The sequence below is a fragment of the Homo sapiens genome, chromosome 5, assembly GCF_000001405.40.
Source record: "Homo sapiens chromosome 5, GRCh38.p14 Primary Assembly".
Classification (NCBI taxonomy): domain Eukaryota; kingdom Metazoa; phylum Chordata; class Mammalia; order Primates; family Hominidae; genus Homo; species Homo sapiens.
The window spans coordinates 109,284,467-109,307,941 of record NC_000005.10 but is presented as its reverse complement, the minus strand read 5'-3'; the positions used below and the strand labels follow the sequence as shown (position 1 = coordinate 109,307,941).

General features: G+C 41.8%; 1 long non-coding RNA gene across 1 annotated transcript in view, besides 1 other annotated feature; it reads left to right on the top strand.

Annotated features, from left to right (window-relative positions):
• Nucleotides 1–23,475, top strand: part of LOC285638 (uncharacterized) — an 89,236-nt gene that overhangs the window by 18,428 nt on the left and 47,333 nt on the right. The window lies entirely within an intron of this gene.
• Nucleotides 16,701–17,202: an enhancer, noted in NCBI's record as "H3K4me1 hESC enhancer chr5:108626441-108626942 (GRCh37/hg19 assembly coordinates)". NCBI's record gives its function as "activates a minimal SCP1, AML or CMV promoter by ChIP-STARR-seq in naive H9 embryonic stem cells {active_cell/tissue: H9 hESC(naive)}" and the evidence as "EXISTENCE:reporter gene assay evidence [ECO:0000049][PMID:30033119]".

Below are 23,475 nucleotides of genomic sequence, written 5' to 3'. Positions count from 1 at the left end.
GACCTTCAGTGACGAGGTACTTGTCTTTGTGTCTAAACCCAACTCATTTTATCTTGTGCTGTTCTCAGGAGGAAATGAGACCAGCTGCTCCCTTTCTGTAAGGAAGCAAACTTTCATATAATTGTGGGTTAATAGCACATAATCCCCTAAATTTCTTCCTAGTTTCATGCATCTATATTATGCAAAACATAAGATTTTGGCAAATGAGTATTACTTGGAAGGGACTAGCCTGGAGCTGTTAGTTGTCGGTTTACCACCCCTTGGAGAGAGTCTGGCTGAAAGTAAAGCCAAGACCAAGGAAAGCAAAGCTCAGGCACGGAAAAAGAAACAGATCTGACGATGAAGGTATTACTGTTACTGTCGTAGGCATCTGGAGCAGAAATTCTGTCTGGAATGAGAGCTTAGAGTTCAGTGCTATGGGTGGTTCCCAATGCTGGTTGCCCATCTGAATTGCCTGGGGAGTTTATAAATGACATATATTTAGAGCTCCCATCTTGGATATTCTGATTATGAAGTCTGATGTGGGGCCCAGAAATCTTCAGTTCATAGAAATTCAAGTGATTCCGAAGTACAGCCAGCTTCAAGAACCATTGCTCTGGGCCAATTTCATCCTCCAATACAGAAGAACATCTGCGACACCCCACGGAAACATCAGTGCCATGGAGTTCCCAAGGTCATTCGTCCCACTAGTGGGCAACTCCAGGTACAAATTGCATCCTATTATAATGCTAAAATCAATCCCTTTGTACCTCTCCACTTTAATACTAACTCTGTGCCCAGGAACAATATGGGATCAGTTTTTTCCCCCTCTTTTTAAAAATCGTTTTTGTTTTGCAGCTGGGGTGGGCAGGAGGAAAGGCCCCTCAGCTCTTTCCTCATTGGCAGTGTTTCTGGACATTGTCCAGAATGGTAATGAGTGTTTGAAATATGCTCTATGAAGCCATGTTTGTGGGGTAACTTAGATACTATTTGGATAATATTCCTAGTAACACCCACAATTCAGAACAGCCCATGCTCCTTAGGTCCTCTTCTCCTGTGCCCCAAGCCCCTGTTTCTCCTTGAATATCAACATTAATATTTCCATCTTCTCCAGAGCACACCTTTGATTAGATTTATTGTGCCACAGGAGTGGCCATTCAAGTCCTGTTGCAGAAAGGTATTCAGCAAATGTATAAAAGATCGGACAAGGTGAAGGAGAAGCAGGAGAACTGTCACATGTAACTGCAGGACACATTATGCTCACCAAAGGTGTTTATGCTAAAAAGTATGATTACATGTAAACAGAGGGCCTTCAGTGTAAGCTAATAAATACACTAATGCTGCATTTTAAACCCGAATCCAATAATGTGATAGAAAATATATCCTATACATTGTGGAAGAGCAGAGTTGTCAAAACAGGTCTATAAATAGACACCAATATTCTCACCAATAGACACATACTGTGCTGCTAACTGTATTGAAATGATAAAGCTTATTAGCATTGCTTTTGAAGTATAAACACTCCAAAGAGTACAAAAAGACAGAGATGTGTGTGAGTGGATTAAGTGGAGTTACTGAAACAAATGTAGAGATTGATTGCTGTCAAACTCAAATTGGATTTACTTCAAGTACTGGGATGGTTCTGTACTTTAGTTAAAAATCTTTAAGGAAAAATGCAATTTCAACATCCTGTTGGTTGTGTGTGTGCACACATGTGTACATCTACACATGATATTTTGAGTTAAGAATGAAGTATTTCTGGATACATGGCAGTTTACCAAAACATACATTTTAAAAGCACATAAAATGTCTGTTAAGGCTGAGTACAGTGGCTCATGCTTGTAATCCCAGCACTTTGGGAGGCCAAGGCAGGGGGATCACTTGAGCCCCCGGGCATTTGAGATCAGCCTGGGCAACATAGCAAGACCCTGTCTCTATAAAAGTAAAAATTAGCTGGGCATGGTGGCACATGCCTGTAGTCCCAGCTCCTCAGGAGGCTGAGGTGGGAGGATGGCTTGAGCCCAAGAGTTTGAGGCTGCAATGTGCTATGACTGCACCACTCACTCCGGTGGGGGTGACAGAGGGTGTCTCAAAAATAGAATGTTTAAGGCCAGAGTTGCCTATTACAGAAGAGAGAACAAAGAAGTCTGAGGAAGCCAGGCAGGGCTGCTATACCCTCTTGGTTTTAAATACAGCTCCACAGCCAGTCCCTTCAGGTAACATAAAAAGCCGTGGGCTGGTACTAGGCTTTGGCTACTTAGAGGAGCATAAGTCTACAATAGTTGTTCAATATGAGGCAATATAATCATGGAATATCTAAATACAATCTGCTACATGTTTCCAAAGGCAGCAGAAATGGGAGCATCTGCCACCCTGTCTGTTATTAATACATGATGTACATTGAGGTATGTAGGTGCATGGAAGGAACAGGGAAATGTTGGTGTTAAGGCCAGGAAACAGATGGCATCTTCATTCAAACATGTTTTCTTGTCAACTTTGATAGAACAAATGCTCTTGCTGTACTTCATTTTGTAAAGTACGTATTTGTTTTAAAGGCAGGGATGTCTACCACATAAGGAAAAAAACTTAATAGCAGTTCAGTGTTTCTTAAAAATGATTTATCTTTCACGAAGTACTTTCTGAGCCAAATAACCAATTTTATATGGAAATTGAAAAATGACAGAGGATTATTTTTAAAGCAATTTCTCTATTCATGCCCTGTAACCTCTGAAGAAGTCAGGCTTATGAGGACATACACAGACAGCAAAGAAGTTGTCATCATCTATATTTATTTTTTGAAGTGGACCATCCAATCAGATATTAGATAATGCCTTTATGACCACAATTCTCAAGTAGACGTGTTTCATCTCAACACTTTGATTTATGATTTACAGCTCCCTTCTGCTTATTTTTCACTCATTGTGTCTATTAGCTTTCCTTTTAAAGATTTTTTTTTAATTTGACTAAACACAAAACCAGAAAAAATATTTTGGAAGCTGGCAGAAAAAATATGAGGTAGAAAATCTCATGAAGGAACATAAATTTCAGATACACGACTGCTGTTTCTCCTGGGCTGTGATGTACTTTCTTCATCTCTATGGCCTGTAGCCACCAGCCTCAGAAGTCCAGAGAGGCCAGGCATGACCCAGAACTTGGAGCTGAGGGAGCAGCCTCCTGGGCTTCGGTAAACAGTCAACTTCACCTTCTGTTTTCAGTCTCTCATGGTAGCTGGACCTGAGGGGCATTCAGATCTGTGCACCCTCCTTCCATAAATGGGCTCCTCTTACTCCTCAGTTCTCAATATCTAAGGGACAACTGTACTGAGCCATTTATATGCTTGCTCATAAACATCCAATGACTTACCATAGCTGCTAGAGAAAAGCTGCCCAGAGCCCTGAGACTGGCCTTCAGGGTTCTCCCCTACTGAACCTGACTTTCCTTTGTCTTTATCTCCCTCTGCTGCTCCTGAAGTGTGTCATGTGTTTTACTGAATGGAAAATCCACCATATTTTTCTTTCCCAGTATCTCTAAGTCTTTGCCCCTGCTGCCCCCTGCCAGGAATTAATTTCCCACATCCTACTAAGATCCTGCCTAGTCTCCTATATTGGCTTAACCTCCACCTCCTCCAAATAGAATTACTGTCTTTACTGGAAGTTGTATTGGCTGTCTGCATACACACCTGTCTTCTCCCTAAACCAGAAGCTCCTTGTGGATGGATCACCATGTCAACTGTTCTGACATCTCACATCCTGTAACACAGAGAAGCTGCTCCAAGAAGCTTGGCTCAATCTGCTGCCCCTGATACCTATTTTAGAAAGTTGAGAGTGAGGAGTTCTAACCCAGAGAATGCTAAGGGGAAAGGACAACCTTGGATACGTCCATTGTCAATACTATAACATAAGCTCATCTCCTGCAGGCACCATAGTGTCGCCAGCCACGCAACCTTGATGCAATCACAGGTTCCTGCCATTTTTCTTAGTTTCATCTTCCCTAAGGTCATCTGGTCTCTGGACCTAGACAGTTTACAAGGTATCCTGGTCTTCTTGCTCTGGCTCTCTCAGCACAATTGAAGTCCAACACAACTCAAACTAAATGCATCCGCAGCAACAACCACCTTCCCTGCTTGGAACTCTGTCAAGCATTCTGAATTAGTTACTGCCTTGTGTCCAGCTGTTCAGTAGATCTGTGTGCAGTTCTGCTTCTTCCCCCTTCACCATTATCTCCTGAATCTATCCCCATCCAACTGATTTTTCCAGCTGGGCTTCCAACTCCTCCTTTCCAAACCCACCCTACCCCATCATGTGATCTTCTGTCAAAATTTTGGTTTCTGGAAATTGAACGTCTTTGGTCACTTCGTGCAAGGGTCAATTTTTCGCTGAGATGCGAAAACACACGAAGAGTGTAGGTAGAGCTGGAGGTGTTTTATTAGGAAAAGACAACCTGTCAAAATTTACTTTTTAATGCATTTTTACTTCCTTATATCTACCTCCCTTTCATTCATTTATGCATACAATAATGAATAAATTGAATACCTGCCATGTACCTGACATTTGCTCAGCACTTGGGATAAATATTGGAGAGATGCAGATTCCCGTCCTCATGGTGAGGCATTGGAGATGGACACTAAGCAAATAAACTTAGTAAATAAGTTATATAATTTGCTATGTGCGAAAGGATAGAGTCAGAATCTGGGCCATGGGGAATTCTGGGGCAGAATGTGCAGGTCGCTGGGGCAGAGGGGAAGTTTAAGCCAACTTGACGGAGGTGCAGAATGAGCCCGGGGGAAGGGAGAAGAAGAGCAGTGCAGGCAGAGGGACAGGGATTTTGGCGTGTCTGAGAACAGTAGGCAGGCTGGGGTGGCTCCCTAGCCCAAGAGCGGGAGAACAGTACAGGAGGTTTGTGCAGAACAATAACAGGAATAGGGCCTTATAAGCAGTTGTAAAGACTCCAGGGTTTGTCTTTTTAAAATAAGAACAATGGAAAGGAGAAAGAAAGGGGTGTTTTGAGGTGGCTGCCCTAAATGGAGACATGGAATCAGTCTTCACTCACTCTAGAGAGTGCCATGTAAAACATACCATGCTCTCACAGAACGCACAGGTATTTTTTTGGTAATCCTAGAAAGCAGACTCGGGGAAAAAAATGCAAGTTATTGGAGTGGGGACAGGTTTGGGATTCAAATAAAATATTTACTAAGCACCACAGTGTACAAGAAGGGCTTTCTAGCAGAGAAGACTGTTCGATAATAGTGGGCTGGGCAGTAGAAGGAGAATAGGCATTAGGAAAGAAGGCAAATTGCAAAAATGACTACCTATGTGCTTAGGAGAAAATGAGAAGGTCACACAGAATGATGCTCATGGTCTCATATAACTACACGCCAGAAGCTGTCTAGGGAAACAAAGCACACTGTAAAGCGAGCAAATTGATGACTGCAATTCTATAGGTGCCACAGAATGCTAGCTGGATTAGAGGCCATGGCTATAGCATGGTGCAGACAAATACGTTGGCAAGGGTAAAGGCAAAGTCTATAAATCAGAAGTTATGGCTAATTAAAGAAATTCATTAGGCTGGCCAGGGGTATGATGTGGAGGAGGGATATTTGACTGAAGATAAAGAGGGGGAAACAAATGATAGCTAATCCTGCCTAGTTCCATCAGCTAAGATGTTTGCTAACAATTTAGCATGTTATGTTTGATACACTTAGCATAAACTCATCTGGGAGGATGATGCCCTTATTTTTGCCTGTTGCCTGGAAACTGTTGTCCTATCCTTACTCCAACGGGAGAATTTTAACAAGGAGAAAGGCGATAAAAAATACATGCTGCAAAGCTAGTCTTGGTTTTTCCTTCCCTCAACACACAGCATAGGGTGTCCCAGTGGGATTTCTAGCACCAGCATGGGCAGAATTGTGAGAGGGTGATGTGTGTTTCATGACTCTAAATCCTTATAGCCTCCTAGGACCCACCTTGTATAATCTCCCTCAGTCAGAGGGAGCTGCTGCCTTGACCTGCCAGCTTCTGCCTCATCCTAGTGAAATCCCAGGTTGATCAAAAACACCCAGAGTTGCCAAGAGGTCGAGTGAGATTCAGACTGAAAGGTGTCTATTGGATTCAAAAACAAAGAGACTGTTTGTGATCTGCGCAAGAGCGGTTTTCATGGAGCGGCAGGTCAGGCTGCATCTGGGTTAAAGAGTGAATGAGAAGTGAGGAATTAAAGCCAGCGATTGTTGAATCCAACTGTGAAAAGACAGAAGAGCCTTGAGCATGGCATGTTTAAATGTTCAAAGTTAATGGAAATGAGCTATTTGCAAGGAGCAGGTTGATGATGTGGGACAGGTGGCAATAAACAGCATGAGGTCCTTGGCATGGCTGGGATTTTAGTACACGATGAGAAGTGATTTTGGCCTGGCCTTTTGACCTGTTGCTGAGATCCAGCAAAGAAGTCCAGGGAATCATTTCTAGCTATTCCATTACATTTAAGAAGCTCAAGCACCACCATTAAATAGGATCCTGAGTATTGGAGCCATTTAATAAGTCTAAGGGAAATGACAGGTCATCTGCATCTAAAGTTATATGGTCAAGAAAAGACTCCCTGTACTCTAATACATGTGTAACATTTGCTTAATGTCCTCTGAGGTCTGATTTGTATCATGATAAACCACTCAAACCATTTCTGAAAGCCATTTCCACATGCTAATATTATCCAATTGATTTTCATTACCCTGGGAACTTTTTTTTTTTATGAAGATCTATTACATTAGCTCTGCCTTTAATTGTTTTAAAAACAAGCATCATCTCAAAGCAAGATCTTTACAGAGGCACAAATTAGTTTGACCCAAACTCAGAACTCAAGATTTCAAGAGGGCTCAGCCCTGACAAAGACCTGGGCCAAAGAGATACACTGGTCAGCACTGTTATTTAGTTATCTCAACATTAATGAATTCATTGCCAACGAGAATCCCGCAGATAGTGCGATGGAAAAGAATCACTGAGCCATCCAAAATTGAGACTGTAATTAGTCCCAGATTTCATATTCCAGTAGCTTTTCTTTAAATTTGTGAGCTTTGAATACTACTCACCTCTCACCTGAAAGTGAGTATGGATAATTTTAAAGTAAAACTGTCTCATGATGGCAGCATGGGTGGCTTCATGAGGACACAGACATAGGGCCAATCTGTCCCACGGTGCAGTAGATATGCTGTTCCCGGCTGTAACCAGCAGCCAGTGAGTTGTAGGGCACAGTGATGGAAAGCAGAGTACTCTTCACAGTCTAGCAGAGATTCTGTCATCATGAACACTGAACTGAAGAAGCTGAGAATTTTCTGCAAGTGAATGAGGAGCCTCAGAATGAACAGGGATAATGAGCACATTTGACAGCTGTGGGACATCCACAGAGCTTGACAACAAGAGACTCCTGGTCCCACCCAGAAGAGGTGTGAGTCCCCAGTCACAGTGGACCAAATGTTCTCAATAATTCCTCAGTGATAATGTATGAGATGCTAATATATGAATGGCGAGGACAGTTATTGATGCTAATGCATGTCACATATGGTTCTCATTGCAATGTGGATCCAGCATTCCTCTTTCTTTCTTCTAGTAAGAATCTTCTTCAGCTATTAGTAATAGCAATTGCTGGATTGAATGCACTCAAGCTTGTTTCAGGCAAGACTGTTTTGTATAGAATTTGCCTTATTTCTAAGAGTGCTACCTGCTATGCTAGACATTGATTTCCATTTTTCAAGAGACTTTCCTACTAAAGCTCAGTGAAGCATTTATAATTCTTTCCAGAGCACCATGTTTTTATATCTACAAATAATGTCAAAGCTGGGTCATGTTGCATTATGGATTCAACATGATACAGGCCAGTAAAGAAGGAAATTTTACTGTGTTAAAAGTGGACTGAGACTCATGAAGTGTATATGTTAGAATTTGTTTGATACTAGACTGACCCTTGCTGTGAGAATCTTGTCTGACTTTCTCAAGGCATTCTGCCAGTCTGTTAGATAAATATTCTTGTCTATTTTACTTGGGAGAGTACCTAGGTGAATGTTGCATATGTGAACAATTGCTTTGGTTTGCACTTTGGTGAAGGTCCCTGAAAATTTTGTCCAACGTGTAGTGTGCTATAGCCACTCAACGGCAGACTCAGATGCTGCTTGGCTTTGTGCGAAGCCGTCATGCCAGACCCAGTGAATTCCCTTGGGTGCTGCTACATTTGGCTCTGAATTTTAGAAACAACCAGACCTGGAACCGACTGTGGAAGCACCCTGTGGAGAGCAGCCCAGAGTGCCCTGAGAGGATGGCTAACATAATTCCAGCAAAGCCTGACACCAGGTGCCACAACAAGTCCTCCTGCCTCTGTTGGCACCGACCAGAGCTTTCTCAGAAAAGTGTTCAGGATTTGGCTTTTGTTTTAGACACAGGGAAAGACCATCCAAAAGAATGCAAAGCAAATTGTCTTGATGTGGGTTCTTCCAGGAACCAACCCTGAGATAAGTATTTAAGTACAAGTAGTTTATTTGGAGGCTGACCCCAGAAAACCCTGATAAGGAAGCAGAAGAGTAAGAAAGGGAGAAGGAAGACGATAAGGGGCCTGTACAGCCTGTTACTGCTGTGAGAAATTGGGGCTCAGTACCGCCAGAGATCTCTGGGAGATGATGTAGAACGCACCTCAGAGTTAGCACACCCTTGAGAGGGAGTTGTCTAAAAGGCAGAGATACTGATCCACCAGCTCCCCATCCATAGTTTGTCAACAAACGATGGGCTGCCTCCATGAGCATTAACTCATTGGCACTTGCCACTTAGTTGGCGCACAGGCTCTTGCAGCAAGGAAAATGTTTAGGCAGAGTGGCAGGCATTGGCAGTAAGCAGCCTTGATGTGCAGAGGTGGTGCTGGGGGGGAACCTGCCTCACCTGGAAAAAGCTAAGGAAATGGTAATCTCTTTTCCTTCTCTCTCTCTTTCTCTCTCTCCCCCTCTCCCCCTTCCCCTCCCACCTAACTCACACACATATGCATAGTTGCTGGCGCATTCTCCATGGCACCAGCACAATGAAGGGGAAAATCTTTAAACACAGAATTTGATTCGACAAAATATAAACAATTATTGAGCGCTTATATGCAGGGCACTGTTACAATAAGAAACCATTTTTCCCCTCTCTCAAGGAGCTGGACATTAAGCAGGAGAGATAAAACATTAAAAGCAACTTTTCAGGATGCCCAAGTTCTCTATTAGAGGTAGTGGTGCATGTTAAGAGATCAGTGTTTTCTAGAGATTGCAGAGAAAAGACAGCCAGTGAGAGAGAGTGAGCACAAGCTCTAGAAAGTGTGCCCAGTGGCCTTTGGAATGGGTCAGGGGGTGGAGGGAGGTAAGGGTGGGCTTCACAGAGAAAATGAGGTTTAAATTTGGGCCTGAAGGGACAGTGGGATTTAGATGAGGGAGAGGGCATCACAGCAGAGTGGTGGTGGTGGTGGGCGGGGGGGATGACTTTTTCCGATATAAGAAATAAATTGACATTTTTTGGAGGATTAACCACCAAAACAGACATACCATGAAACAAATGAAATAGTGGGATCTCTGCCTCCAGACAACGTTCAGTATTCTCCTGACATCCTTTGGTCTTGTTGCTGATGTGTGTGGCTGTATCAGAACTGAGGTGCTGGCTGGGACAGGGTGAGACATAGAATGGGCAGCCAAGATACACATTCAGAACTAAGTCAAAACCCCAAAGTAAACGCACTGGCCCATCCATGTCAGTGAGGGTAAGGGCCATGTGAAAACCGTCCAGGCTACTGCCCAGGTGCAGGGGGCAGGGGATTGCCATCAGGGAGGCTGCCAGCCGGTCCTACAGACTGTGCTCTGAGGAAGAGGGCAAAGGACAGAAAGCTCAAACCGGGGCCAGGGCTTCATGGACCAGAAAGTGTCAGAAGCATCATGAACCCTGCACGGAGCTGCGACGCTACTCTCCGGAACCGGTGGTTTCACACTCTGCCTCTTGCCTCCAGCAGACCTTGAGTCCCAGGGTGCTTCAAGAGAAAACTGTGGCAACTCAATAACAAAATTAGCCACCCAGTAAAAAGGCACAAAAGAGAGAGAGAGAGAAAAAAAGGCACAAAAGATTTGTTGTTGTTTTAATTTTTGTGGGTACATAGGTGTATATATTTGTGGGGTACACGAGAGAATTTGATATAGGCATTTGATTCGTAGTAATCACATGATGAAAAATGGGGTATTTATCCCCTCAAGAGTTTATCCTTTGTGTTACAAACCAGTTATGTTCTTTTAGTTATTTTGAAATGTACAATTAAAATATTTTGACTATAGCTACGCCGTTGTGCTATCAAATACTAGGTATTATTAGGTATTATTCATTCTTACTATTTTTTTTTTTACCCATTAGCATCCCCCTCACCCCCGCCCCCATCCCCGCCCCCGCCCCTGCCACTACCCTTTCCAGCCTCTGGTAACCATCCTTCTACTCTATATCTCGATGGGTTCAATCATTTTGATTTTTGCATCTCACAAATAAGTGAGACCATGTGATGCTTGTCTTTCTGTGCCTGGCTTATTTCACTTAACATAATGATCTCCAGTTCCATCCATTGTTGCAAATGACAGGATCTCATTCTTTATGCTGAATAGTACTCCATTGTGTATATGTACCACATTTTCTTTTTCCTTAATTTTTTAAGATTTCAGTGCTTTGGGGGTACAAGTGGTTTTTGGTTACATAGATGAATTGTATAGTGGTGAAGTTCAACATTTTAGTGCACCCATCACTCGAGTGGTGTATGTTGCACCCAATATGTAGGTTTTTATTCCTTACTCCCCCTCCTATCTCCCCCTTCTGAGTCTCCATATTTCATTATATCACTCTAGGCTTTGTGTACCCATAGCTTAGCTCCCCCTTGTAAGTGAGAATGTGCAGTATTTGATGTTCCATTCCTTAGTTACTTCACTTAGAATAATGGCTTCCAGCTCCAACCAAGTTCCTGCAAAAGACATTATTCCATTCTTTTTTATGACTGAGTAGTGTTACATAGTGTATATATACATTTTCTTTTTTAAGTTCAGGGGTATATGTGCAGGTTTGTTACATAGGTACATTTGTGTCTTGGCAGTTTGTTTACAGATTATTTCATCATCCAGGTATTAAGCGTAGTATTCATTAGTTGTTTTTCCTGATCCTTTCCCTCCTCCCACCCTCCAAGGATCCCCAGTGTCTGTTCTCCTCTGTGTGTCTCTGTGTTCTCATCATTTAGCTCCCACTTACAAGTGAGAACATGCAGTATTTGGTTTTCTGTTCTGTATTTGCTAAGTATGAGGGCCTCCAGCTCCATCCATGTCCCTGCAAAGGACATGATCTCATTGATTTGTTATGGCTGTGTAGTATTCCAGGATGTATATGTAACACATTATCTTTATCCAGTCTATCATTGATGGGCATTTAGGTTTGTTCCACATATTTGCTACTCTGAATAATGCTGCAATGAACATACATGTGCATGTGTTTTTATAATATTATTTATATTCTTTTGGGCATATACCTAGCAATGGGATTGCTGGGTTGAATGGTAGTTCTATCTTTAGGTCTTTGAAGAATTGCCATGCTGTCTTCCACAATGGTTGAACTAACTTACACTTTCACCAGTAGTGTATGAGCATTCCTTTTTCTCCACCATCTTACCAGCATCTGTTATTTTTGACTTTTTAATAATCATTCTGACTGATATGAGATGGTACCTCATTGTGGTTTTGATTTGCATTTCCCTAATGATCAGAAATATTGAGCTTTTTAAAATAATTGTTGGTTGCATGTATGTCATGTTTTGGAAAATGTCTGTTCATGCTCTTTGACCACTTTTTAATGGGATTGTTAGGGTTTTTTTTTTTTTTCTTGTCAATTTAAGTTCCTTTTAGATGCTGGATATTAGACCTTTGTCAGATGCATAGTGTGCAAAAATTTTCTCCCACTCTGTATGTTGTGTATTTCCTCTCATAGTTTATTTTGCTGTGCTAGAAGTCCTTTAGTTTAATTAGATCCCATTTGTCAGTTTTTGTTTTTGTTGCAATTGCATTTTTTTTATTTTTTATTTTATTTTATTTTATTTATTTTAGACGGAGAGTCTCGCTGTGTCACCGAAGCTGGAGTGCAGTGGCGTGATCTTGGCTCACTGCAACCTCCGCCTCCTGGGTTCAAGTGATTCTCCTGCCTCAGCCTCCCAAGTAGCTGGGACTACAGGCACGTGCCACATTGCCCAGCTAATTTTTTGTATTTTTAGTAGAGACAGGGTTTCACCATGTTAGCCAGGGTGGTCTCGATTTCCTGACCTCGGCATCTTCATCATGAAATATTTGACTGTACTTGTGTCCTGAGTGGTATTGCCTAGGTTGTCTTCCAGGGTTTTTATAGTTCTGGGTTTTACATTTAAGTTTTTAATCTATCTTGAGTTAATTTTTGTGTATGGTATAAGGATTGGGTCTAGTTTCAATCTTCATATGACTAGCCAGTTATCTCAGCACCACTTGTTGAATAGGCAATCCTTTTCCCATTGCTTGTTTTTGTCAGGCTTATCAAAGATCAGATGGTTGTAGGTGTGTGGTGTTATTTCTGGATTCTCTATTCCATTGGCCTTTGTGTCTGTTTTTGTACCAGTACCATACTATTTTGGTTATGGTAGCTCTGTGGTATAGTTTGAAGTCAGGTAGTTTGATGCCTCCAACTTTGTTCTTTTTGCTTAGGATTTCCTTGACTATTGGGGTTCCTTTTTGGCTCCATATGCATTTTAAAATAGTTTTTTCTAATTCTGTGAAGAATGTCAATGGTAGTTTAATGGGAATAGCATTGACTCTATAAATTACTTTGGTCAGTATGACCATTTTCATGACATTGATTCTTCCTTTTCATGAGCATGGAATGTTTTTCCATTTGTTTGTGTCACTGCTTTTTTGAGCAGTGGTTTGTAGTTCTCTTTGTAGTTATCTTTTCACCTCCCTAGTTAGCTATATTCCTAGGTAATTTATTCTTTTTGTGGCAGTTGTGAATAGGAGTTTGTTCCTGACTTGGCTCTTGGCTTGCCTGTTGTTGGTGTATAGGAATGCTAGTGACTTTTGCACATTGACTTTTGTATCCTGAGACTTGGTTGAAGTTATCAGCTTTAGGTTTTGAGGGCTGAGGCTATGGGGTTTTCTAGATACCGGATCATGTCATTTGCAAACAGGGATAGTTTGACTTCCTCTCTTCCTATTTGGATGCCCTGTGTCTTTTTCTCTTGCCTGATTGCCCTGGCCGGGACTTCCAATACTATGTTGACTTCCAATACTGTGTTGAATAGGAGTGGTGAGAGAGGGCATTCCTGTCTTGTGCCAGTTTTTAAGGGGAATGCTTCCAGCTTTTGTCCATTCAGTAAGATGTTCACCGTGGGTTTGTCATATATGGCTGTTATTATTTTGAGGCATGTTCCTTTAGTACCTAGTTTATTGAGAATTTTTAACATGTAGGGATGTTGAATTTTATTGAAAGCCTTTTCTGCATCTATTGAGATAATCATGTGTTTTTTGTCCTCTCTTTACATGATGTCACATTTATTGAATTGTGTATGTTGAATCACCTTGCATTCCAGGGATATAAGCCTACTTGATCATGGTGGATAAGCTTTTTGATGTGCTGCTGGATTTGGCTTGCCAGTATTTTGTTGAGGATTTTTGCATCAATGTTCATCATGAATATTGGCCTGAAGCTTTTTTTGTTGTATCTTTGCCAGGTTTTGGTAACAGGATGATGCTGGCCTCATAGGATGAGTTCAGAAGGAGTCCTTCTTCCTCAATTTTTTGCAAAACTTTCTGTAGGAATGGTACCAGCTCTTCTTTGTACCTCTGGTAGAATTCAGCTGTGAATCTGCCTGGTCCCGGGCTTTTTTTTTTTTTTTTTTTTGGTAGGCTATTTATTACTGCCTCAATTTCAGAGCTCTTTACTGATCTGTTCATGGATTCAGCTTCTTCCTGGTTTGGTTTTGGGAGGATGTATACGTCCAGGAATTTATGTATTTCTTCTAGTTTTTCTAGTTTATGTGTGTAGAGGTGTTTATAATATTCTCTGATGGTTGTATTTCTGTGGGGTCAGTGGAAACATCCTGCTTGTCATTTCTGATCATGTTTATTTGAATCTTTCTGCTTTGCTCCTTTATTAGTCTAGCTAGTGGTCTATTTTATTTTTTTCCAAAAACCAGCTCCTGGATTCACTGATTTTTCTTTTTTGAATGGCTTTTCCTATCTCTTATTCAGTTCAGCTCTGATTTTGGTTATTTCTTGTCCTCTGCTAGCTTTGGGATTTGATTGCTCTTGGTTCTCTAGTTCTTTTAGATGTGATGTTAGGTTGTTAGCTTGATCTTTCTACTTTTTGATGTGGGCACTTAGTGCTATAAGTTTCCCTCTTAGTATTGCTTTAGCTGTGTCCCAGAGATTCTGGTATGTTGTATTTTTATTCTTATTAGTTTCAAAGAACTTCTTGACTTCTGCCTTAATTTCATTATTTACCTAAAAGTCATTCAGGAGCAAGTTATTCACTTTTCATGTAATTGTATGGTTTTCAGTAAATTTCTTAGTCCTGATTTCTAATTTGAGTGTGCTGTGATCTGAGAGACTTAGGATTTCAGTCCTTTTGCATTTGGTGAGGAGTGTTTTACTTCTGATTATGTAATCACCTTTAGGGTATGTGCCATGTGGCAATGAGAAGAATGCATATTCTGTTGTTTTGGGGTGAAGAATTCTGTAGATATCTTCTATCAGGCCCATTTGATCTAGTGCTCAGTTCAGGTCCTGAATATCTTTGTTAATTTTCTGTGTTGATCTGTCTAATATTGTCAGTGGGGTGTTAGACTCCCACATGGTAATAGTGGGAGACTTTAAGTCTCTTTGAAGGTCTCTAAGAACTTGCTTTATGAATCTGGGTGCTCCTGTGTTGGGTACATAAAACCCTTTATCACTATATAATGCCCTTCTTTGTCTTTTTTTGATCTTTGTTGGTATAAAGTCTATTTTGTCAGAAACTAGGATTGTAACCCATGCTCTTTTTTTTTCCATTTGCTTGGTAGATTTTCCTTCATCCCTTTATTTTGAGCCTATGTATGTCATTGCATGTGAGATGGGTCACTTGAAGCCAGCATAGCAATGGGTGTTGTTTCTTTACCAAGCTTGCCACTCTGTGTCTTTCAATCAGGGCATTTAGCCCATTTACATTTAAGATTAGTATTAATATGTGTGGATTTGATCCTGTCATCATGTTAGCTGGTTATTTTGCAGACTTGTTTATGTGGTTTCTTCACAGTGTCACTGGTCTGTGTACTTCAGTGTGTTTTTGTAGTGGCTGGTAAAAGTCTTTCCATATTTAGTGCTTCCTTCTAATAGAAAAAAAGAGCTCTAATAAGGCAAGTCTGGTGCCTTACAAATTCCCTCAGCATTTGGTTGTCTGAAAAGGATCTTATTTCTCCTTTGCTTGTGAAGCTTAGTTTGGCTGGATATGAAATTCTGGGTTGGAATTTCTTTGAATGTTGGCCCCCAATCTCTTCTGGCTTATAGAGTTTCATCTGAGAGGTCTGCATTAGTCTGATGGGCTGCCCTTTGTATGTGACCTGACCTTTCTCTCTAACTACCTTTAACAGAATTTCTTTCATTTCAACCTTGGATAATCTGATTATGTGTCGTGGGGGTGATCTTCTTGTGAAGTATCTTACTGGGGTTCTCTGCATTTCCTGAATTTGAATGTTGGCTTCTCTGTCTAGGTTGGGGAACTTCTCATGGATGATATCCTGAAATGTTTTCCAAGTGGTTATCATTCTCCCCATCTCTTTCAGGTACACCAATCAGTTGTAGGCTTGGTCTCTTTACATAATCCCATATTTCCCAGAGGTTTTGTTCCTTTTCATTCTTTTTTTATTTATTCTTGTCTGCCTGTCTTATTTCAGAAAGCCATTCTCCAGGCTCTGAGATTCTTTCCTCCACTTGGTCTATTCTGCTATTAATACTTGTGATTGCATTATGAAATCCTTGTGTGCTTTTCAGCTCTATCAGGTCAGTTATGTTCTTCTCTATACTGGCTATTTTGTCTGCCAGCTTCTGCAATGTTTTATCGTGATTTTTAGCTTCCTTGGATTGGGTTACAACATACTCCTCTTGCTCAATGAACTTTGTACCTATCCATATTCTGAATTCTACTTCTGTCATTTCAGCCATCTCAGCCTCAGCCTCGTTCTGAACACTTGCCGGAGAGGTGATACAGTCATTTAAAGAAAAGAAGGTACTCTGGCTTTTTGAGTTTTCTGTGTTCTTATGCTGACTCTTTCTCATCTTTGTGGTCTATCTACCTTCAATCTTTGAGGTTGCTGACATTTGGATGGGTTTATCTTTTATCCTATTTGACCTTGAGGGTTTGATTGTGGTATAGGGTGGATTCAGCCAACTGGCTTTGTTTCTGGGAGATTTTAGGAGGCCAATGCTCAGCTCCCAACTCTGGACAGCATGCTCTAACTTTGGCGGACTAGTGTTGGGCCCCAACTTTGTTCTCTGGCTCAAGGTTTGGAGTCCACTGCACTGGGCAGGGGGTGCGAAGTGTGGCGGCTTTAGCAGAGTGCTAGCGCATGCGAGGGTGCTTGCCTCCCTGCAGGCATTCACCATAGTGGTGGCAGAGGCAGGGAGCAGGGGGCCCCTGCTGGAGACTGTTTACTGTTGCACTGGAGGTGGTGTTGGCTTCGGGCATGGGACTGGCCAGCACAGGTCTGGCTGCCTTATCTATGCCCCTCAAGCAGGAGTGATCACTCAGGGTGTGGGAGGATCCCATTTTCTGTGCAACATCAGCACAAGGGCAGGGTGCTGGCAGAGGTGGGGCTTGCTGACTGTGCCCACCAAGGCTTCATCTGCAATGGTGGTTGCTGGGGGTAGCGGCATACAGCACCGTTACATGCTGGCAGGGCAAGTGAAGCAAAATCCACCTATGCAGACACACACCAGCAAAGTGATGTGGGGACTTACTGTGGGCTTGTGGGAAGCTAGAGTATGGGGAGGGAATGTGAGGGCTGCTGCATGGCCACAGGAACCACCTCACTGGAGCTCTCCACTGGTCAGGCATGGTCCACTGACACAGAAACCTCAATGTGGGCCCCCTGGACACCCAAGACTACCCTGTGAGCAGGCATGGTCAGGCTGGGGCCCCAGGAGAGGCCAGCAGACCAAGGAGTGCTCAGGTCATACCAGCCCAGACTGATGACCAAGACCGCCCTGCAGAGATCAGGCTCAACCATTCCCCTAGGGTCAAAGTTTCTTATGAGAGCAAGTTGAGCCTAAATTGATTACTGTCCCTGGCCATGCTCCACTACAGATGCTCCTGCACCAAACCCTTTGGGCTCCACATCAGCTGGCTTGCTGCTTTACCACTTTGCTTGCCTCCTGGGGGCTCTACCCCAGAGAGATGTGGGTCAGCAACCACTCGGGACAATGGACCCGGGATGGAGGGTCTGTGCTGTGGGCCCAAGCCAGGGGTTCCCTATCTGATGACAAGCAGTAGGGGGTGTGTGGGACCCATAGGAGATGCACTGGCCCCCTCTGCTTGGGCCAACTGCAGCTTGTTGAAGGTGTGGATAAGGCACTTAGGGTATTTGCTCCTTATTAGTCCAAGGGTTGCAAGGATGGTTCCACTGCAGAGGCAGTGGCAGAGAGGCTTTCAGTTGCCCCTGGAGGCTCTGTCCAGGGAATTTCCAAGTTGCTACTGGCCTAGTAGCTCTGGCAGAGGGTGCCTGGAGGCTCAGGCCTGGAGGACCTCCCCAGTGAGGAGATATGGGAACAGGTACCCATGTAAGAGACTGGACACTTTTCCATAGGGCTGCTGTGATATGCTGAACACCCACTCCAGTCCCACTATAGTTGCCTTGGATTTTCCAGTACCTGGAGGTATCACCAGTGAAGGCTGTGAAACAGTAAAGATGGCAGCCTGCCTTGACCTCTGAGAGCTCCCTCCCAGGGAGATACAGACCTGTTGCTAGCCCGAATGCACCTGTAGGAAGTCACTGGAGACCCCAGTTAGGAGGTCTTGCCCAGTGAAGAGGAATGGATAGCTGTGCTGCTCTGCTGTGCTGTGCTGGGGGATCCCTTCTGCCCCTGGTTGGCTTGGACTCTGTAAAGCCAGAAGGCTGGAATGCCAATTTGCCCAAACAGCAAAGATGGTAGCCTGCCCCTCTCCCCAGAAACTCCCACCCAAGGAAGCACAAGGCTGCCACCAGTAGCTGACTGGAATTCCAAGCTAGTGGTATTATCCTGTAAGATGCCATGAAAGTGGGGCCCTGCAGACTGTCACTGCTTGGCCCCCTGTATTCAGCCTCTTTCCTAGTGGTATGTACAGGGGTCTAACCTCCTGCTTTGCTAGACCCTTGTGGTTACTTTTGCTGGGAAGCCCTGAACCTGAGTATCTAAGGCTCCTACATCTCCAGGTGTGCCCGAGCAGCTGCTCTACCAAGACTCCACATCACTGTGTGTCAGACAGAAGGCCCTGTGGAATGGATTCACGAAGGTATCTCCTGACCAGAAGGTTGCAAAGATCCATGGGAGAAGCCTGGGTTCTCAGAGTCGCCCGTTCAATCATCACTTTCCTGGGTGGGGGAGGTACCCTTGGCTCTGTTGCTCCTGGATAGGCTGTTGTCTAGCCTTGCTTTTCTCCATTCTCTGTGGGTCGAGTTGTTTCCTTCGTTATTCCCAATGTGAGTAGCTCTGATGTGTGGGCACTGCCTAGCTGCTGCTGGTACCTATAAGGTGGAATGATGAGGCTGGCTCTGGCAAACTAGAAAAAAAATTAAGGCTGAAGTGAGATACTGCTACTGGGCCTCTCTGACAGAACAGCAAAAGCGACTGCATTTTCTTTATCCACTCGCTGGTCGCCAGGCACTTGGTTTCATATCTTTGCAATTTTGAATTGTGCTGCAATAAACATGTGTGCAGGTGTTTTTTTGATATACTGACTTATTTTCCTTTGGTAGATAGCCAGTAGTGGGACTGCTCGATTGAATGGCAGATCTTTTAGTTCTTTAAGAAATCTCCATATTGTCTTCCATAAGACGTTGAACTAATTTACATTCTCACCAGCAGTGTATAAGTATTCTGTTTTCACCACTTCCATGCCAACATCTATTGTTTTTTTGACTTTCAGTAATGGCCATTCTTGTAGGAGTAAGGTGGTATCTCATTGTGGTTTTAATTTGCATTTCCCTGATGATTAGTGACATTGAACAGTTTTTCATATGTTTGGTCATTTGTATATCTACTTTTGAGAAATGTCTGTTTGTCATTTGCCCACTTTTTGATGGGATTATTTTCTTGCTGGTTTGAGTTCCTTGTAGATTCTGAATATTAGTCCTTTGTCAGATGGATAATTTGCAAATATTTTTTCCCAATCTGTGGGTTTCTGTTTACTCTGATTATTTCTTCTGCTGTACAGAAGCTTTTTACTTTAATTGGGTCCCATTTTTTGTTTTTGTTGCATTTGCTTTTCGGGTCTTACAAATTCTTTGCCTAGGCCAAGGTGCAGAAGAATTTTTCCTAGGTTATCTTCTAAAATTTCTATGGCTTCAGGTCTTAGATTTAAATCTTGGATCCATCTTGAGTTGATTTTTTTAATAATATGAAAGATGGGGATCCAATTTTATTTTTCTAAATATGGCTAACCAGTTTTCCCAGTATTTATGAAATAGGGTGTCCTTTCCTCAATTTATATTTTTGTTATGCTTTGTCAAAGGTCAGAAGGCTGTAGATATTTGGCTTTATTTTTAGATTCTGTATTCTGTTGCATTGGTCTATGTGTCTGCTTTTATACCAGTACCATGCTGTTTTGGTAACTATAGCCTTGTAGTATAATTTGAAGTCCAGTGATGTGTTGCCTCCAGATTTGTTCTTTATGCTTATAATTGGCTTTGGCTGTTTGTGTTTTTAGGTTCCATATGAATGTTACAATTGTTTTTTCTAATTCTGTGAAAAATGTTGGTATTTTAATAGGAATTGCATTAAATCTGTAGATTGATTTAGGCAGTATGGTCACTTTAAAGATATTGATTTTTTTTCCCAATTCATGAGCATGGGATGTATTTCCATTTGTTTGTGTCACCTAGGATTTCTTTCAGCAATGTTTTGTAATTCTTCTTGTATAGATCTTTCACCTCCTTGGTTAAATATATCTCTAGGTATTTTTAGTTTTTTGCAGCTGTTAAAGGGATTGCATTTTTTTTTTTTTATTTTTGAGACAGAGTCTTGTTCTGTCACCCAGGTGGGAGGGCAATGGCGCGATATCGGCTCGCTGCAACCTCTTCCTCCTGGGTTCAAGCGATTCTTCTGCCTCAGGCTCCTGAGTAGCTGGGATTACAGGTATACACCACCACGCCCGGCTAATTTTTTATATTTTAGTAGAGACGGGGTTTTGCCATGTTGGTCATGCTGGTCTTGAACTCCTGACCTTCTGATCCGCCCACCTCGGCCTCCCAAAGTGCTAGGATTACAGGTGTGAGCCACCACACCTGGCCGGGATTGTATTCCTAATTTGATTCTCAGCTTGGTTGTTGGTGTATAGCAGTGCTACTGATTTGTGTAGATTGACTTCATAACCTGAATTCTGTTGTGGGAAGTCAGGGATCCCAAATGGAGGGACCAGCTGGAGCCACAGCAGAGGAACATAAATTGTGAAGATTTCATGGACATTTACCAGTTCCCAAACACTTTCATAATTTCTTATGCCTGTCTTACTTTAATCTCTTAATCCTGTTATCCTCATAAGCTGAGGATGTACGTCACCTCAGGGCCACTACGATAATCGTGTTAACTGTACAAATTGATTGTAAAACATGTGTGTTTGAACAATATGAAATCAGTGCACCTTGAAAAAGAACAGAATAACAGTGATTTTAGGGAACAAGGGAAGACAACCATAAGGTCTGACTGCCTGCGGGGTCAGGCAAAAAGAGCCATATTTTTCTTCTTGCAGAGAGCCTATAAATGGACGTACAAGTAGGGAAGATATCGCTAAATTCTTTTCCTAGCAAGGAATTTAATAATTAATACCCTGGGGAAGGAATGCATTCCTAGGGGGAGGTCTATAAATAGCTGCTCTGGGAGTGTCTGTCTTATGTGGTTGAGATAAGGACTGAAATACACCCTGGTCTCCTGCAGTACCCTCAGGCTTACTAGGATTGGGAAATTCTACCCTGGTAAATTTGAAGTCAGACCAGTTCTCTGCTTTCGAACCCTGTTTTCTGTTAAGATGTTTATCAAGACAATACATGCACTGCTGAACATAGACCCCATTAGGAGTTTCTGATTTTGCCCTGGTCCTGTTTCCTCAGAAACACGTGATCTTTGTTCTCCTTTTTGCCCTTTGAAGCATGTGATCTTTGTGACCTACTCCCTGTTTTTACACCCCCTCCCCTTTTGAAATCCTTAATAAAAACCTACTGGTTTTGCAGCTCAGGTGGGCATCACAGTCCTACTGATACGTGATGTCACCCCTGGAGGCCCAGCTGTAAAATTCCTCTCTTTATACTCTCTTTATTTCTCAGCCGGCTGACACTTATGGAAAATAGAAAGAACTTACATTGAAATATTGGGGGTGGGTTCCCGCGATAGAATTCATTTGTCAAATCTAGGAGTCTTTTGAGAGGAGTCTTTAGGGTTTTCTAGGTATAGTGTTATATCACTGGTGAACAGCAATAGTTTGACTTCCTCTTTGCCAATTTGGATGCCCTTTATATCTTTCTCTTGCTCTATTGCTCTGGCTAGGACTTTTAGTACTATATTGAAGGAAAGTAGTGAAAGTAGGCATCCTTGTCTTGTTCCACTTCTTGGGGAATGGTTTCAACTCTTTCCCATTCAGTATGATGTTAGCTGTGGGTTTGTCATATGACTTTTCTTATTTTGAGGTAAGTCCCTTCTATGTCTAGTTTGTTGAGTGTTTTTATCAAAAATGTTTGCTGGATTTTATCAATCCTTTTTCTGCATATATTGAAATGGTTTTACAGTTTTTGTTTTTAATCCTGTTTGTGATGTATCACAATTATTTTTGACTCACATGTTAAACCGTCTCTGCATTCCTGGGATGAAACCCACTTGATCATGGTGTATTGTCTTCTTGATATGCTGTTGGATTCAGTTATTTTGTTGAGGATTTTTGCATCTATGCTCATCAGGGATATTTGTAATTTTCTTTTTTGATGTGTCCTTTCCTGTTTTCGGTATCAGGATGATACTGGCTTCATACAATGAGTTAGGGAGAATGCCCTCTTTTGCAATCTTTTGTTATAGTTTCGATAGGATTGGCACTAATTCTTCAAATGTCCGGTAGAAGTCAGCTGTTAATCCATATGGCTCTTGGCTTTTTTTTTTTGTTGGCACTTTAAAAAAATTACTGATTCAGTCTCACTCCTTGCTATTTGTCTGTTCAGGGTTTCTATTTCTTCCTGGTTTAATTTAGGAGGGTTGTATGTTTCCAGGAGTTTATCCATTTTTTTTTTCTAGATTTTTGAGTTTATGTGCATAGAGGTGTTCATACTAGTCTCAAATCATCTTTTGTACTTCTGTGGTGTCAGTTGTAATGTCTCCAGTTTTATTTCTCATTGAGTTTATTTGAATCTTCTCCCTTCTTTTATTGGTTAATCTAGCTAATGATCTATTAATTTTATCTCCTCAACCAAAGAACCAACTTTTTGTTTCGTTGATCCTTTGTATTTTTTTGTTTTAATTTTACTCAGTTCTACTCTGATCTTTATTTCTTTCCTTCCACTAGCTTTGAATTTAGGTCTTGTTGCTCTAGTTCCTTGAGGTGTGTGACATTAGATTTTCAACTTGTGATCTTTCAGACTTTTTGATGTAGGCATTTAGTGGTGTAAACTTTCCTTCTAGCACTGCTTTTTGCTGTATCTCAGGGGTTTTGATAACTTGTGTCACTAGTATCATTCATTTCAAGGAGTTTTTAAATTTCCACCTTTATCATTGTTAACCCAAAAATCATGCAGGAGCAGATTGTTTAATTTCCATATATTTGTATCATTTTGATGATGCCTTTTCTAGTTGATTTCATTTATTCCACTGTGGTCTGAGAAGATACTTGATACAATTATTTTTTAAATTTATTGAGACTTGTTTTGTGGCCTGTCCTATGGTCTGTCTTGGAGATAGATGTGCTGTTGAGAAGACTGTATATTCTGAAGTTGTTGGGTAGAATGTTCTGTAATAACTGTTAGGTCCATTTGTTCTAGAGTGTAGTTTAATTCCATTGTTTCTTTGACTTTCTGTCTCTGATCATCTAGTGATGTCAGTGGAGTGTTAAAGTCCTCCACTATTGTGTTGCTATGTATCTCATTTCTAGTAGCAAATGTTTTATGAATCTAGGAGATCCAGTGTTAGGTGCATATAAATTTAGGATTGTAATATCTTCTTGTTGGATTGATTTTATTATAATTACTGTCTTTTTCTTTTTTTTA